General features: G+C 39.5%; 1 long non-coding RNA gene across 1 annotated transcript in view; it reads left to right on the forward strand.

Annotated features, from left to right (window-relative positions):
• LOC107986262 (uncharacterized) overlaps positions 1 to 18810 on the forward strand; it is a 59101-nt gene extending 40291 nt beyond the window's left edge. The window contains exon 3 of the long non-coding RNA XR_001741598.1: positions 18689 to 18810. This is a non-coding gene — a long non-coding RNA (uncharacterized LOC107986262). The remainder of the gene's footprint in view (positions 1 to 18688) is intronic.
• Positions 18811 to 19037: the final 227 nt, after the last annotated feature.

Genomic DNA, 19037 nt, shown 5'->3' on the forward strand with positions numbered 1-19037 from the left:
CATAATGGCCTCCAGCTGCATCCATGTTGCTGCAAAGGACATAATTTTGTGCTTTTTAATGGCTGTTTAGTATTTCATGGTGTATATGTACCACATTTTCTATATCTAGTCCATTGTTAATGGGCATTTAGGTTGGTTCCATGTTTTTGTTATTGTGCTGCAATGAACATACAAGTGCGTATGTCTTTATGGTAGAAAGACTTACATTCCTTTGGTTATGTACCCAGTAATAACATTGCTGGGTCAAATGGCAGTTTGTTTTAAGTTCTTCGAGAAATTTACAAACTGCTTTCCACAGTGAACTGAACTAGTTTACATTCCAACCAACAGTGTATAAGCATTCCCTTTTATCTGCATTCTCACTAGCATCTATTATTTTTGACTTTTTAATAGTAACCATTCTGACTTGTGTGATTTGCATTTTTCTAATGACTAGTGATGTTGAGCATTTTTTCATATGCTTGCTGGCTGCATGTATGTCTTTTTTTGAGAAGTATCTGCTTGTGTTCTTTGCCCACTTTTAAATGAAGTTGTTTCTTGCTTATTAATGTATTATTAAGTTTCTTATAGTTTCTGGATATCGGACCATTGTCAGATGCATGGTTTGCAAAAATTTTCTCCCATTCTGTAGGTTGTCTGTTTATTCTGTTGATAATTTCTTTGCTGTGCAGGAGCTCTTCGATTTAATTAGATCCCATTTGTCAATGTTCGTTTTTGTTGCGATTGCTTTTGGAGTCGTCATGAAATTTTTGCTAAGACCTATGTCCAAAATGGTATTTCCTAGCTTTTTCTAGGTTTGTTTTTTATAGTTTTAGGTTTTACATTGAAGAGTTTAATGCATCTTGAATTGATTTTTGTATATGATGTAAGGAAGGGGTCCAGTTTCAATCTTTTTCATGTGACTAGCCAGTAATCCCATCATCATTTATTAAATAGGGAGTCCTTTCCTGGTTGCTTCTTTTTGTTAGCTTTGTTGAAGATCAAATGGTTGTAAATGTTCAGACTTATTTCTGGGTTCTCTATTGTGTTCCATTGATCTATGTGTCTGTTTTTGTACAAGTATCATGCTGTTTTGGTTACTGTAGCCTTTGAGTGTACTTTGAAATAGGGTAGTGTGTTGCCTCTGGCTTTGTTCTTTTTGCTTAGGATTGTTTTGGCTATTCAGGCTCTTTCTTGTTTTTGGTTCCATATGAATTTTAAAATCGTGTTTTTCTAATTCTGTGAAAAAGTCATTGGTAGTTTGATAGGAATAGCACTGAATCTGTAAATTGCTTTGGGCAGTATAGCCATTTTAACAATATGATTCTTCCTATCCATGAGAGTGGACTGTTTTTTATTTGTTTGTGTCATCTCTCATTTTCTTCAGCAGTGTTTTGTAATTCTTGTTGTAGAGATCTTTCAACTCCCTGGTTAGCTGTATTCCTAGGTATTTTTTGTGTAGCTATGATGAATGGGATTGTGTTCTTGATTTGGCTCTAAGCTTGGATGTTGTTGGTGTATAGAATTGCTACTAATTTTTGTACATTGATTTTGCATCCTCAAACCTTGCTTAAGTTGTTTATCAGATCCAGGAGCTTTTTGGCATAGACCATGGGGTTATCTAGATATAAAATCATATTGTCTACAAAGCAAGGTAGTTTGACTTCCTCTTTCTTTTAGATGTCTTTTATTTCTTTCTTTTGCCTGATTGCTCTTACTAGGACTTTCAGTACTATTTTGAATAGAAGTGGTGAAAGTGGGCATGCTTGTCTGGTTCCAGTTCTCAAGGGGGAATTCTAGCTTTTGCCCATTCAGTATGATGTTGGCTGTGAGTTTGTTATAGATGGCTCTTATTATTTTGAGGTATTTTCCTTCAATGTTTAGTTTGTTGAGGTTTTTAACATGAAAGGATGTTGAATTTTATTGAAAGCGTTTTCTGCATTTATTGATATGATCATGTGGTTTTTGTTTTTAGTTCTTTTTGTGTGATGAATCACATTTATTGATTCGTGTATGTTGAACCAACCTTGCAACCCAGAAATAAAGTGTACTTGATCTTGGTGGATTAACTTTTTGATGTGCTGCTGGATTTGGTTTGCTAGTATTTTGTTGACGATTTTTGCATCTATGTTCTTCAGGCATATTGGCCTGACGTTTCCTATTTTTTGTCTTTGCCAAGTTTCAGTATCAGAATGATGCCGGCTTCCTAGGATGAGTTAGAGAGACATGTCTCTCCTCAGTTTTTTGGAATAGTTTCAGTAGGCTTGGTACCTGCTCCTTTTTATACAACTGGTAGAATTTGGCTATGAATCCATGTGGTCCAGTGCTTTTTCTGATTGGTAGGTTTTCTTTGTTATTACTGATTCAGTGTTGACACTTATTATTGGTTTTTCAGGTTTCAATTTCTTCCTGATTTAATATTGGGAGGTTGTATGTTTCCAGGAATTTATCCATTTCTTCTAGGTTTTCTAGTTTGTGTGCATGGAAGTGTTCATAATAGTCTCTGAGCCTTTTTGTTTCTCTGTGGGGTCATTATTAATTTTCACTTTGTCATTTCTGATTGTGTCTATGTGTGTCTTTTTTTCTTTATTAGTCTAGCTAGTGGTCTGTGGATCTTATATATTCTTTCAATGCACCAACTTTTGGTTTTATTGATCTTTTGTATGGTTATTCACATCTCAATTTCATTCAGTTCAGGTCTCATTTTGGTTATTATCTTTGCTTCTGCTAGTGTTGGCATTGGTTTGCTCTTGTTTTTCAAGTTCCTCTAGGTGTGATATTAAGTTGTTAATCTGAGATCTTTCTAACTTTGATGCGGGCTTTTAGCACTATAAACTTTCAACACTGCTTTAGCTGTGTTGTAGAATTCTGTTATGTGTTATCTTTGCTTTCACTAGTTTCAAATAATTTCTTGATTTCTGTCATAATTTCATTGTTTACCAAGTCATTCAGGAGAAGTTTAATTGCCATGTAATTGTATGGTTTTGAGAAATTTTCTTAGTATTGATTTTTATTTTTATTGTGCTGTGGTCTGAGAGTGTGATTGGTATGATTTGGCTTTTATTTTTTTGAATTTGTTGAGAATTGTTTTATGGCTGAGGGTGTGGTCCATTTTGGAGTATGTGTCATGTGCAGATGAGAAGAATGTCTATTATGTTGCTGTTGAGTGGAGTGTTCTGTAGATGTCTGTTAGTTCCTTTTGGTAAGTGTGAAGTTTAGGTCCCGAATACCTTTGTTGGTTTTCTGCCTTGATCTGTCTAATACTGTCAGTAGAGTGTTGAAGTCTCCCACTATTATTATGTGGTTATCTAAGTTTCTTCATAGGTCTCTAAGAACTTGTTTGATGAATCTGGATGCTCTTGTGTTGGGTGTATATATATTCAGGATGGCCAAGTCTTCTTGTTGAATTGAACCCTTTATCATTATGTACTCCTCTTTTTGTCTTTTTCAATCAGTTTGTTTAAAGTCTGTTTTGTCTGAAATTGGAATAGCAATTCCTGCTTTTTTGTGTTTTCCATTTGCTGGTAGGTTTTTCTCCATCCCTTTACTCTGAGCCTATGAATGTCATTGCTTGTGAGATGGGTCTTTTAAAGACAGCATACAGTAGAGTCTTGCTTCTTTATCCAACTTTCTACTCCATGCTTTTTAATGGGGTCTTTAGCCCATTTATGTTCAAGGTCAATATTGATATTTGTGAGTTTGATCCTGTCATCATGTTGTTAGCTGATTGTTATGCAGATTTGATTGTATTCTTGTTTCATAGTGTCAATTATCTACGTACTGAAGTGTGTTTTTGTCGTGGCCAATAATGGTCTTTCCTTTCCATATTTAGCACTCTGTGAAGGACCTTTTGTAAGGCAGACCTGGTGTTAATGAATTCACTTAGCATTTGCTTGTCTGAAAAGAATTTTATTTCTCCATTGTTCATGAAGCTTAGTTTGGCTGTACATGAAATTCTTGGTTGGAATTTTTCTTTAAGAATGCTGAATATAGGCCCCCAGTCTCTCTTCTGGCTCGTAGGGTTTCTGCTGAAAGGTCTGCTATTAGCCTGATGAGGTTCCCTTTGTAGATGACCTACCCCTTCTATCTAGCTGCCTTTAATTTTTTTTCTTTCACATTGACCTTGCAGAATCTGATGAGTATGCATCTTGGGAATGGTCATCTTGTATAGTATCTCACAGGGGTCCTATCAATTTCCTGAATTTGAATGTCAATCTCTCTAGCAAGGTTGGGGAAAATTTCCATGGACAATATCCTCAAATATATTTTCCAAGTTGCTTGGTCTCTCACTCTCTTTCAGGTACGCCAATGACTGGTAGATTTGATCTCATATATAATCCCATATTTCTGGAAGGTTTTGTTCATTCTTCTTTGTTCTTTTTCTTATTTTTGTCTGACATAGTTGACTTGAGAAACCAATCTTCAAGCTCTGAGATTCTTTCCTCAGCTTGATCTACTCTGCTGTTAATGCTTCAGATTTTATTATGAAATCCTTGTAGTGAGTTTTTCAGCCCTATCATATCAGTTTGCTTCTTTCTTAAAATGGCTCTTTCACCTTTAACCTTTTGAATCATTTTATTGGATTTCTTAGATTCTTTGGATTGGGTTTTAACTTTCTTCCAAATCTTGAAGATCTTCATTGATTTCCAGATTCTCAATTCTATGTATACTATTTCAGCCTGGTTAAAAGCCATTGTTGGGGGGCTAGGGTAGTCATCTGGAAGTAAGAAAACACTCTGGCTTTTTGAGTTGCCAGAGTTCTTGTGTTAGCTCTTTCTCATCTGTGTGGGCCCAGATCTTGGAGTTGCTCTCCTTTGGATGTGTTTTTTTTGCTTTTATATCCTTTGGTGCCCTTGAAGTTTGATTGTCATATAAGCTGGGTTTAGTCTACTGGCTTCATTTCTGGATGATTTCTGGGGGCCAAGGCTTAGCTCTGCACCCCTGGGCTGCATGCCCTTGGAGGGCTGTTATTAGGACCACAACTTTATTCTCTGACCCCTTGAGGTTATGCACCTGCTGTGCTGGAGGAGCCAAGGTGTTCCTGGTGGGCTGGCAACAACACTTAAATGGGGGTTGCTGGCAAAAGTGCTTTGTTGGTGCATGTGCCACACATGTGGCAGTGAGTTCCACATGTGTGTGCATGCTCCAGTAGCAGAGGTGTGGCAGGGTCTGCACATATGTATGAGTGCCAGGGATGGTGGGGCTGCAGGGTCTGTGTGCATGTGCTGGCAATGATGATGTGGTGGTGTCTGTGTGTGTACATGTGCTGGCAATGACAGTGATTCAGTGGAGTGTGTGCGTGCTGGCAGTGGCACAATGGTGGGTGTGCATGCTGTTAGGGAGAAATGGTGGCATTCACACTTGAGCTGGTGGCAGCAATATGGCTGTGTCCATGCATGTGTATGCACCAGTAGCAGTGGTGGCACAGCAAGGTGTGAGTGTGTATGTTGGTGGTGGGGGTTGGTGATGGTGAGGTTTGTGCCTGTGTGCACTGGTGGCAATAGGGTGGTGAGGTTGTGCACACACACCAAAGCAGTGGGAGGCGGCTGTGGGTGGGTGCATGTCAGTGGGGGCCTGTCTGCTTAAGTTCTCCGATGGTTAGGCAGGGTCTGCCAGCAAAGGAGTTATGGTAGTGGCCATCAGGAAGCACCCCAGTTGGACATCTCAGGATGCATTGCAAATAGGAGTGGGCAGGCAGGGACCTTGGAAGAGGCCAGCAGATAGCGGGTGCTCAGAACAGACTGGCCCCATCTCATGGGCAAGACTTCCCTTCTCTGTTCAGGTCCAACAGTCAACAAAGGCCAAAGTCACGTAGAGGAGTGTGTTGAGACTTGGGGGTTGGGTATCCCTGGCTGTGCTCCAGTGCAGCTGTTGCTGTGTCAAACCCTGTAGACTATGCACAGGCTGGAGTATTATCCAAGAAGCAACTCTTAATGTATGAACAGATAAACAGAATGTGGTGTATATACATGCATAGAATATTATGCAGCCTTAAAATGAAGAAAATCACTCTGTGATTGCACAGAGTAAAACTTGAGGGACATTGTGCTAAGTGAAACAAGCTAGTCACGAAAGACAAATACTGTATGATTCTACTTATTTGAGATATCTAAAGTAGTTGAATTTTTAGAAACAGAAAGTAGAATGGTGGTTTCCAGGGGCAGAAGGGAGGGGAAAAAGGAAATTATTGTTTAGTGGATATAGAGTTTCAGATTCACAAAATGAAAAAGTTCTAGAGATCTGTTTCACAACAATGTAAATACACTTAACACTACTGAACTGTACATTAAAAAATGGTAAAGATGGCAAATTTTATGTTATGGTTTTTATTACCACAATAGAAAATGTATATCATATAGAATTTAGGAGAATTACATGTCATTTCATTTTCTCCCTTAAGATCCCATGAAGTAGATATTTATCTGGGTGGGGAAGCAAACGTTTCTGAAATCGTCACATATCCAACTGTTTTAGTTAGTAAGTTGACATGCCAATTGTTAAGACTAAGATGAGCAGAGACTAGAGGAAGTGGAGTAAAAGTGAAATTGTCATTCAGGGATGGCATTGTTTACAGAATTTGAGTTGCTACTTACCAATAGCACAGATGCCAGATCTCCAAATAGGACCCACGAACAGATTTTTTTATCCCAAGGCGAGAAACTGGCTACATGCCTTCCTCAGGCAAGGTTTCATTAGTTTACACATGAACATCTAAGGCTCAGAAGGATCATGTACTTGCTGAGGGTTGCACAAACAGCACAGAATGTGTGGTGATTCAAGCCAAGGTTTATCTGGCTCTAGTCAGGCTCTAAGCTTTCTCTATATAACAGCTTCAGGGTTGAAGTGAAGTCATCATTTCATTTGCCAGTGGGGTCAGCGTAGCCACTCCCCTAAGGTGCCTGCTTGGCCACTGTCTGAAGAGCCCCATGCATTGCTGCAGCATCAGCAAACCTGAGCTGAAGAACACAGCCCTGGAGAGCCTCTTCTGTCTCGGGCTGGGAGATCAGCAGGAGGGCAGGAGCAAGGCTGGGTGGAGGAGCAGCAAGTGGGGAGTTTCCAGGGTTGCCGATCAAAAAAGAGGCACACATACCTGAAATAAATCAGCAAAATACAGTATTTTCTCTCTTGCCAAAATAGACAGCACACCTGGTCTTCCAGTGTGTACATATGTGTGTATTTGTGTATGTGTGTGTGTGTTTGTACTGTGATCTGTCTTCTTGGATGCATGTACAATAGCAGTGATTTAAAGTCTACAGACCCAGCAAAAATTCTGTAACTGAAATGCAAGAGTCTGTGTTATATGTTATTACCAAAATTTCAAGCCCTTAAATATGTGTCCTTAGACTTTTAAAAATATTCCCCTTCCAAACAACTTATAAAAGAAAACTGGAGAGAGAACAAGTATTACACAAAAGTGGGGAAATGTTTTATCTGTGCTCCCTCTGCCCAATTTTTTTTCTGGCTATAACTGAATTTGGCTGTGTCAATAAATTAGTAAATCGATTTATTTTTTATAATTTTATTATGTTATATAAATATAATTATATTTTAATATAATTTTATTAATTTTTTTCCTGCTTCTACCAAATAACTGTTGGATGAATATTTAAAGAATATTGGTTTTGAGGGGTCCCAAATGATTAGCTAGCTCTGGGAACCAAATTGTGTGACTGCTGGGGTATTGTCACAGCCAGGAAGGAAGCTTTGCCCCTGTTGTGGTTTTGGGCATTTGGGTTCTTTAAAAGTTTCTTTCCTTCTTCTTAAAGAACTCCTCTACCTAGCATAGTGGCCCCAGCCCCAAACTTGAACATAAACTTTGATTGTTTCCTCTCTGCTCACCAGCTATACCAGGTAATCCATCAACAAATCCTTTCAGATGTACATCTACTTTTAAAACTTGTCTGAGTTTTATCCATATCCCTTTTCTGCTTTCCCCCTTCCATCTTTTTGCTACCTACTAATGCTTGAATTGAGTTGTGTCCCCCAACCCAATTCATATGTTGAAGCTTAACCCCCTATATAACAGTATTAAAGATAGAGCCTTTAAGGTTAAATGAGGTCATGAGGATAGAGCCCTAATCCCATAGAACTAGTGCCCTTTTAAGAAGAAGAAGAGATTATGGAGATCTCTCTCCTTGTGAGAACACAGCAAGAAGGCAGACGTCTGCAAGCCAGGAAGAGAGCCTTCACTAGAACTCAGTCTTGCTGGCACCCTGATCTTGGACTTCCAGCCTCCAGAACTTTGGGAAAATAAATACTATAGATTGTTAAGCCACCCAATCTATAGTATTTTGTTATGGCAGCCTGAGCTGATTAATAGAACTACCTTAGCTCAAGACCTCACCTGGATTACTATATAAATTTCTTACCTTGTCTTTCTGTTTCTAATATTGTCCTGAGCTTATTCTCAATAACTAGTCAATGCATGACATACTAATTCTTCTTCTAAATATTTACTCAATAAGAAATGAAAATATATGTATATAAAAAAGGCTTGTATAAGAATGTTTACAGCAGTTTCATTCATAATAGTTCAAAACTTGAAAAAATCCAAGTGTATATCAATAGGTGAATAAACAAATTATCGTATTACTATAATGAGAAACTTTAGGGTAAGTAAAAGAAAACAATTATTGATACAGCCACATTGATTAATCTCAAAAATATGCTGAGTGGATGATGCCAACCACAAAAGAGTATTTTCTATATAGTTCAATTTGTATGAAGTTATAGACCAGGCAAAACTAAGCTATAGTGTTAGAAATGAGAGTGGCAGTGTAGGAGGAGTTGTTATGAATTAGAAAGGGGCATGAGGGAAATTTTTGAAAGTGATGGGAGTGTTCTATATCTTAATTAGAGTGGTGATTACATATATGTACATTTGTTAAAACTCACAGAACTGTACACATAAAATTTATGCATGTTACTGTATTGAAATTATATGTCAATTTAAAAACTAGATACACGCAAGAGCTGCTAATGAACTAAGCATACCTTCTCTGGGTCATGGAAATTGTCACAAACTGTAGTCTTTGTACAATTTGGTTCCAAATAGAAGTATGACCAGCGAAGGTAATATTTCAGTATAATATTTCAAATGTTGGCATAATATTTGTAAAATGTAATCGATCCTATTACTACCACTTGTTTCTGCGTTCCCAGCATCCAGACCCTCTTAATATAGTTTGCAATATCCCACTTTTTCTTTTCTTTTTTTTTTCTCAGAGATGGGGTTTCTCTCTGTTGTCCAGGCTGGAGTGCAGTGATGTGAACATTGCAGCCTCTAACTCTTGAGCTCAAGCAATCCTCCTGCCTCAGCCTCCTGAGTATCTGAGAGTATAGGTGTGTGCCACCACATCCGGCTCCACTTTTTGTTTTGGAAGATTCCCCTCAGCATTGTAAGTGATCTTCTTCATTAAGTTGTCCTGACCACTTCCAATAAAATATTGGGCAGATGACCCAAGGAAATCGGTCAATGAGTTATTATTCTCTCCTGGAAACCAGAGTCCCTGAGAAGAGTGACACACAGTTGGAGCCCAGTTATTCTGTTGGCAGTGCCCTAAAATATTTCTCGCTGAAATCCTCAGGACTCCCTGGCTCCTGCCTTTCCTGAGGCTTGGAGTATTAATGTGTCCTTTGTGTCTATGAGTTTCCTTGCATTTTTCCAAAAAATTGTTTGACTTTCTGGTTTATATAGGTGGAGTTACTTTCTGTTGTTTGTAGCCAAAACCCTAAACACTTGTCAGTGGCTTCCCATTGTCCTCACAATAAAGCCCACATCCTTTCACATAGCATTTTCGGTTGGGTTCCCTGAGAAGGAGAACCTGAGCAGGGATTAAGTGTGAGTAGTTCTTTTGGGAAGTGATCTCAGGAAGAACTGGCAGAGGAGTGGCGATGTAAGATGGGGAAGGGAAAGAAACTAATAAAGGGCTCAGAATCACTTCTGTTGACCTGTGGGTGACTGAGATTCAGTTTGGCAGGGAGTTCTGGGAGACAGTGTAAGAGACAGTAAGACCGATTTCACCTGCAAGGTAGGGAAGCTGGAGGTATTTGTTTATCCTCCAGCTCCCATTCATCATTAGTCAAGGGATGCTCCTGCTGCCTGAACTCCCTAGAGCTCTGAGCCTGCTTCTCTTAGGACTGAAAGAAAACTCTCAGGTACAGAGCCACAGATGTGGGTATTAGAATGTGATCAGCATGGACTGGAACAGTGGTGCCAAGATGATCTGGTTGGGCAATGAGGACATCTGCCAGAATAACTTATGGGGCTCCTGACCCATGTAACCTTGACTCCTCCCCTTGTAGCCTATGCTCTCACTGTATAGAATTTCTTTTTGTTGCATGAGTGCACCACACTATCTCAGCCCTCTAATCCTCATGCCTTTGAACAGGTAGAACGTCCTTCAGTCTGGGACACTCTGCCTTTTAATCATAAATCTCTATACAATGAAATTTATAAATATAATTTATACATCTCTTTACAATGGTTAGTTATTATGGAAGAGGACATATTGACGTTGTCTAATCCAAGGACTACAAATAAAAAATCATTGCATAACACCAACTAAAAACTGTGAATATTTATTTATTCTGGAGCAAATAGTTCTCTGTATCTTAGTTTGTTCTCCTCATTCTTTTGTCTTATAATGGGGTGGGAGACACCTCTTTGAGCCTCAATTTTCTTACCTGTAGTAGGCAGAGGGACACGGTAATCACCAATTCCACCATTGGGATAAGTGATAAGATTCAGAGAAAAAGGAGCAACATGCTTGGTGGTAAGGGACAGTTTCCCTGAGGATGTGACATTTAGCTAAGTTGTAAAGGAAGAAAAAGATATTAACTGGCTGTGGGGGTGGGACATGGGAGAGCAGGAAGCATCCTAGTGCCCCGCCAGTCTGAGAGAACCCACGTGTGCCTGCAGAGAGACAATGCTATGGAGAGAAAGGAGATGAGAAAAGTTGCAGGGGCTTATAGACCATGTCAAGAATTTGGGATTTTATCCCAAATCCATGGGAGATCCTGCACACACTGCCAGAGGAGCCTTCCTGAAACATAGCAAATCCTGCCATTTCTCTGCATAGGTACCTCTAGCGATTATACCCCTCAGACCAAAGTTTCAATTTCTTAACTGTGTTGTTGTATTTCTTCATGATTGGGAAATAACCTAGGTGTTTGGATGTTTCTCCCATTTCTCCCCTATGTAGCTCTTACTCCCACCAACTCGTGTATTTCCTATGCCTCAACACTACCCCATAAACGTCCTTTTTCACAGCTTTGGTTACATGAGTTCCTCTTCCTGAAATGTCTTCCCATTTCTTTCTGTCCTTCTACTCCTGGTAAAGTCCTACTCATATATATATATATTTTTTTTAATGTGAATTTTTTTATTATTATACTTTAAGTTCTGGGGTAAATGTACACAACGTGCAGGTTTGTTACATAGGTTTACATGTGCCATGTTGGTTTGTTGCACCCATCAACTTGTAATTTACATTAGGTATTTCTCTTAATGCTATCCCTCCCCCTGGCCCCCACCCCCAACAGACCCTGGTGTGTGATGTTCTCCTCCCTGTGTCCATGTGTTTTTATTGTTCCACTCCCACTTATAAGTGAGGACATGAGGTGTTTGGTTTTCTGTCCTTGTGATAGTTTGCTGAGATTGATGGTTTCCAGCTTCATCCATGTCCCTGCAAAGGACATGAACTCATCCTTTATTATGGCTGCATAGTATTCCATGGTGCATATGTGCTACATTTTCTTTATCCAGTCTAGTATTGATGGAATTTGGGTTGGTTCCAAGTCTTTGCTATTGTGAATAGTGCCACAATAAACATACATGTACATGTGTCTTTATAGTAGCATGATTTATAATCCTTTGGTCATATACCCAGTAATGGGATTGCTGGGTCAAATGGTATTTCTAGTTCTAGATCCTTGAGGAATCACCACACTGTCTTCCACAATGGCTGAAATAATTTCCACTCCCACCAACAGTGTAAAAACATTCCTATTTCTCCACATACTCTCCAGCATCTGTCGTTTCCTGACTTTTTAATGATCGCCATTCTAACTGGCATGAGATGGTATCTCATTGTGGTTTTGATTTGCATTTCTTTAATGACCAGTGATGATGAGCATTTTTTCATATGTCTGTTGGCTGCATAAATGTCTTCTTTTGAGAAGTGTCTGTTCATATCCTTTGCCCACTTTTTTATGGGGTTGTTCTTTTTTGTTTTTTTGTTTTTTTGTAAATTTGTTTACTTTCTTTGTAGATTCTGGATATTAGCCCTTTGTCAGATGGATAGATTGCAAAAACCTTCTCCCACTCTGTAGGTTGCCTGTTCACTCTAATGGTAGTTTCTTTTGCTGTGCAGATGCTCTTCAGTTTAATTAGATCCCATCTGTCTGTTTTGGCTTTTGTTGCCATTGCTTTTGGCGTTTTAGTGATGAAGTCCTTGCCCATGCCTATGTCCTGAATGGTATTACCTAGGTTTTCTTCTAGGGTTTTTTTGGTTTTAGGTCTTACATTTAAGTCTTCAAACCATCTTAATTTTTGTATAAAGTGTAAGGAAGGGATCCAGTTTCAGCTTTCTACATATGGCTAGCCAGTTTTCCCAGCACCATTTATTAAATAGGGAATCCCTTCCCCATTGCTTGTTTTTGTCAGGTTTGTCAAAGATCATATGGTTGTAGATGTGTGGCGTTATTTCTGAGGACTCTGTTCTGTTCCATTGGTCTATATATCTGTTTTGGTACCAGTATCATGCTGTTTTGGTTACTGTAGCCTTGTAGTATAGTTTGAAGTCAGGTAGCGTGATGCCTCCAGCTTTGTTCTTTTTGCTTAGGATTGTCTTGGCTGTGTGGGCTCTTTTTTGGTTCCATATGAAATTTAAAGTAGTTTTTTCCAATTCTGTGAAGAAAAACAGTGGTAGCTTGATGGGGATGGCATTGAATTTATAAATTACTTTGGGCAGTATGGCCATTTTCATGATATTGATTCTTCCTATCCATGAGCATGGAATGTTCTTCCACTTGTTTGTGTCCTCTTTTATTTCATTGAGCAGTGGTTTGTAGTTCTCCTTGAAGAGGTCCTTCACATCCCTTGTAAGGTGGATTCCTAGGTACTTTATTCTCTTTGTAGCAATTGTGAATGGGAGTTCACTCATGATTTGGCTCTCTGTTATTGGTGTATAGGAATGCTTGTGATTTTTGCACATTGATTTTGTATCCTGAGACATTGCTGAAGTTACTTATTAGCTTAAGGAGATTTTGGGCTGCGATGATGGGGTTTTCTAAATATACAGTCATGTCATCTGCAAAGAGAGACAATTTGACTTCCTCTTTTCCTAATTGAATACCCTTTATCTCTTTCTCTTGTCTGATTGCCTTGGCCCGAACTTCCAATATTATGTTGAATAGGAGTGGTGAGAGAGGCCATCCCTGTCTTATGCTGGTTTTCAAAGGGAATGCTTCTAGTTTTTGCCCCTTCAGTATGATATTGGCTGTGGGTTTGTCATAAATAGCTTTTATTATTTTAAGATATGTTCCATCAGTACCTAGTGTATTGAGAGTTTTTAGCATGAAGGGCTGTTGAATTTTGTTGAAGGCCTTTTCTGCATCTATTGAGATAGTCATGTGGTTTTTGTTGTTGGTTCTGTTTATGTGATGAATTACATTTATTGATTTGCATATGTTGAACCAGCCTTGCATCCCAGGGATGAAGCTGACTTGATTGTGGTGGATAAGCTTTTTGATGTGCTGCTGGATTTGGTTTGCCAGTATTTTATTGAGGATTTTCGCATCGATGTTCATCAGGGATACTGGGCTAAAATTATCTTTTTTTGTGTGTGTCTCTACCAGACTTTGGTATCAGGATGATGCTGGCCTCATAAAGTGAGTTAGGGAGGATTCCTTCTTTTTCTATTAATTGGAATAGTTTCAGAAGGAATGGTACCAGCTCCTCTCTGTGCCTCTGGTAGAATTCAGCTCTGAATCCATCTGGTCCGGGACTTTTTTTGGTTGGTAGGCTCTTAATTAATGCCTCAATTTCAGAACCAGTTATTGACCTATTCAGAGACTCAACTTCTTCCTGGCTTAGTCTTGGGAGGGTGTATGTGTCTAGGAATTTATCCATTTTTTTCTAGATTTTCTTGTTTATTTGTATACAGGTGTTCATAGTATCCTCTGATGGTAGTTTGTATTTCTGTGGGATCGGTGGTGGTATCCCCTTTACCATTTTTTATTGCGTCTATTTGATTCTTCTCTCTTTTCTTGTTTGTTAGTCTTGCTAGCAGTCTATCTATTTTGTTGGTCTTTTCAAAAAACCAGCTCCTGGATTCATTGATTTTTTTGAAGGGTTTTTCGTGTCTCTATCTCCTTCAGTTCTGCTCTGATCTTAGTTATTTCTTGTCTTCTGCTGGCTTTTGAATTTGTTTGCTCTTGCTTCTCTTGTTCTTTTAATTGTGATGGTAGGGTGTCAATTTTAGATCTTCCCTGCTTTCTCTTTTGGGCATTTAGTGCATAAATTTCCCTCTACGCACTGTTTTAAATGTGTCCCAGAGATTCTGGTATGTTGTGTCTTTGTTCTCATTGGTTTCAAAGAACATCTTTATTTTTGCCTTCATTTCGTTATTTACCCAGTAGTCATTCAGGAGCAGGTCGTTCGGTTTCCATGTAGTTGTGCAGTTTTGAGTGAGTTTCTTAATCCTGAGTTCTAATTTGATTGCACTGTGGTCTGAGAGACAGTTTGTTGTGATTTCTGTTCTTTTACATTTGCTGAGGAGTGCTTTACTTCCAATTACGTGGTCAATTTTAGAATAAGTGCCATGTGGTGCTGAGAAGAACTTACATTCTGTTGATTTGGGGTGGAGAGTTCTGTAGATGTCTATTAGGTCTGCTTGGTCCAGAGCTGAGTTCAAGTCCCAGATATCCTTGTTAAGTTTCTGTCTTGATCTGTCTACTATTGACAATGGGATGTTAAAGTCTCCAATTATTATTGTATGGGAGTCTAAGTCTCTTTGTAGGTCTCTAAGAACTTGCTTTATGAATCTGGGTGCTGCTGTATTGGATGCATATATAGTTAGGATAGTTAGCTCTTCTTGTTAAATTGATCCCTTTACCATTATGTAATGCCCTTCTTCATCTCTTTTGATTTTTGTCGGTTATAAGTCTATTTTATCAGAGACTAGGATTGCAACCCCTGCTTTTTTTTTTTTTTTTGCGTTCCATTTGCTTGGTAGATCTCCCTCCATCCCTTTATTTTGAGCCTGTGTGTGTCTTTGCATGTGAGATGGGTCTCCTGAATACAGCACACTGATGGGTCTTGACTCTTTATCCAATTTGCCAGTCTGTGTCTTTTAATCGGGGCATTTAGCCCATTTACATTTAAGGTTAATATCGTTATGTATGAATTTTATCCTGTCATTATGATGCTAGCTGGTTATTTTTCCTGTTAGTTGATGCAGTTTCTTCATAGTGTTGATGGTCTTTACAATTTGGCATGCTTTTGCAGTGGCTGATACTGGTTGCTCCTTTCCACGTTTAGGTCTTCCTTCAGGAGTTCTTGTAAGGCAGGCCTGGTGGTGACAAAATCTCTCAGCATTTGCTTGTCTGTAAAGGATTTTATTCCTCCTTCACTTATGAAGCTGAGTTTGGCTGGATATGAAATTCTAGGTTGAAAATTCTTTTCTTTAAGAATGTTGAATATTGGACCCCACTCTCTTCTGGCTTGTACGGTTTCTGCAGAGAGATCAGCTGTTAGTCTGATGGGCTTCCCTTTTTGGGTAACCTGACCTTTCTGGCTGCCTTTAACATTTTTTCCTTCATTTCAACCTTGGTGAGTCTGATGATTATGGGTCTTGGGGTTGCTATTCTTGAGGAATATCTTTGTGGTATTCTCTGTTATTTCCCAAATTTGAATGTTGGCCTGCCTTGCTAGGTTGGGGAAGTTCTCCTGGATAATATCCTGAAGAGTGTTTTCTAACTTGGTTCGATTCTCCCTGTCACTTTCTGGTACACCAATCAGACGTAGATTTGGTCTTTTCATATAGTCCCATATTTCTTGGAGGCTTTGTTCATTTCTTTTCACACTTTTTTCTCAACTCTTGTCGCTTTATTTCATTAATTTGATCTTCAATCACTGATATTCTTTCTTCCGCTTGATCAAATTGGCTATTGAAGCCTGTGTATGCTTCACAAAGTTCTCGTGCTGTTTTTCAGCTCCATCAGGTCATTTATGTTCTTCTCTACACTTGTTATTCTAGTTAGCCATTTGTCTAACTTTTTTTCAAGGTTTTTAGCTTCCTTGCAATGGGTTAGAACATGCTCCTTTAGCTCAGAGAAGTTTGTTATTACTCACCTTCTGAAGCCTACTTCTGTCAACTCATCAAACTCATTCTCCATCCAGTTTTGTTCCCTTGCTGGCGAGGAGTTGTGATCCTTTGGAGGAGAAGAGGCGTTCTGGTTTTTGGAATTTTCAGCCTTTCTACTCTGGTTTCTCCCTGTCTTTGTGGTTTTATCTACCTTTGTTCTTTAATGTTGGTGACCTACCAATGGGGTTTTGATGTGGATGTCCTTTTTGTTGATGTTGATGCTATTCCTTTCTGTTCGTTAGTTTTCCTTCTAACACTCAGGCCCCTCAGCTGCAGGTCTGTTGGACTTTGCTGGAGGTCCACTCCAGGCCCTGTTTGCCTGGGTATCACCATCAGAGTCTGCACAACAGCAAGTATTGCTGCCTGATCATTCCTCTGGAAGCTTCGTTCCAGAGGGGCACCTGCCAGATGCCACCCATAGCTCTCCTGTATGAGGTGTCTTTCTCCCATGCTGGGAGAACCACTGCTCTCTTCAGAGCTGACAGGCAGGGATGTTTATGTCTGGAGAAGTTGTGCCCAGAGCTGCCCCTTCCCCTAAGTGCTCTGTCCCAGGGAGACGAGGGTTTCTCTATAAGTCCTTGACTTGGGCTGCTGCCTTTTTTTCAGATATGCCCTGCCCACAGATGTGGAATCTAGAGAGGCAGTTGGCCTTGCTGGGGTGCGGTGGGCTCTGCCCATTTCAAGCTTTCCAGCAGCTTTGTTTACACTGTGAGCATAAAACCACCTACTCAAGCCTCAGCAATGGTGGACACCCCTCCCCGCTCCAAGCTCCAGTGTCCCAGGTCAATCTCAGACTGCTGCACTAGCAGCAAGAATTTCAAGCCAATGGATCTTAGCTTGCTCGGCTCTGTGGGTGTGGGACGCACTGAGCCAGGCACAGGAGAGAATCTCCTGGTCTGCAGGTTGTAAAGAATGTGGGAAAAATGCAGTATTGAGGCAGGAGTGTATCCTTCTTCCTGGTACAGTCTCTCATGGCTTCCCTTGGCTAGGAAAGGGAAATCCCCCAGCTCCTTGTGCTTCCCAGGTGAGGTGATGCCCCACCCTGCTTTGGCTTGCCCTCCATGGGCCACACCAACTGTCCAACCAGTCCCATTGAGATGAACCAGGTACCTCAGTTGGAAATGCAGAAATCACCCATCTTCTGCGTCAGTCTTGCTGGGAGCTGCAGACTGGACCTGTTCCTATTTGGCCATCTTGGAAGAGTTCTCCCAAGTCCTACTCATATTTTGTGACCTAGTTTCAAGGCCACCATCTCCAAGAAGACTTCGTATATGCTCCCAAACATAAAGGGTCTGTCAGGGCTCTGAACTTGCTTACAACCTGATGCCTTTCCTAATGTGGCTGATCATGTTCTGTCTGGTTATTTCTCTTCTCTCCTGTACTTGATTTGAAAGCTCTTTGAGCACATGGGCTATGCCTCAGTTGTCTTTGTGTTTCAAAGACAAAGACAAACAAAGGCCCAAAAAATTAACCTCATCATTAGCCTCTGTTTATTCAAAGATAAACAAAGGCCAAATAAATTAAACTCATTGCTCAGCCCAAAGTATTGCATTTTAATTCTTTTGTGTGTTTTGTTTTGTTTTGTTTGAGACAGAGTCTTGCTCTGTCACCTAGGATGGAGTGCAGTGGCACAATCTCAGCTCACTGCAACCTCTGCCTCCTTGGTTCAAGCGATTCTTGTGCCTCAGCCTCCTGAATAGCTGGGATTACAGGCATATGCCACCATGCCCAGCTAATTTTTGCATTTTTAGTAGAGATGGGATTTTACCATGTTGCCCAGGCTGATCTCGAACTCCTGGCCTCAAGCAATCTGCCCACCCTGGCCTCCCAAAGTGCTGGGATTAACCATGCCTGGCTGCATTTTTAGTTGCTAATATGATAGTCACTGATGTTATCCTATAAAAGTAAAATAACATCTGAGAGACTATCATTTTTAATTGCAGTTAATTTATAAAATATCATTTACATAATACAATTTTCACATATTTTTGCTGTCACACAAAATGTCACCTACAATATGTTAGAGAGCTAGCAAGTCCTTCCACAAACTAAGAAATATATTTTCTCTATGAGAAAGAGAGGGTGTTTTCAACAGTTCTTGGTGAGTTATTTAAAGAAAGCTAAAATACAAATAATCAAAGCTACATAAATTACATAAAATCTACCCTTAAGCATTTGTTTTTCTCCCTGCCGTTTATATAGTATCTAATCAGTTACCATTAGTTGGTTTTGAACTTTCATACAGGTTAATCTTTCAAATCTACTGTGCACATTCGTTAGAGACTCACCTATGGTTAAAAAAATAATAATTCCCTTTTCTTGGTTTCATACATTTTTAGGAAGAGAGAGACATCAAGTAATTGCCTAGTTTGGACCACATTCTATAAGCAAGACTCTAGGTTTTCCCAGAGACTTGAGCATCCATGACATGCTGAAATATATACTGGGAAAAAGACCCTGCAGCCCCTTCATGAAGGTAAAACATTCCACATCCAATAACATTTAAGCAGCATTTAAGATTTTATTTTTAAAATTTAAAAAACTAGCTTTAAAATTCAGGCCAGAAAAATATATATTTATAATATTAAGTAGAGAAGTATGTGCAGAATTTGGTAAAATACAATACAAAAAAGTCCAAGTTTATAAAGAGACATTATCCTGAGACAGGGTATTGCAGTGTCTTTGAAG

The sequence above is a fragment of the Homo sapiens genome, chromosome 4 (assembly GCF_000001405.40).
Source record: "Homo sapiens chromosome 4, GRCh38.p14 Primary Assembly".
Classification (NCBI taxonomy): domain Eukaryota; kingdom Metazoa; phylum Chordata; class Mammalia; order Primates; family Hominidae; genus Homo; species Homo sapiens.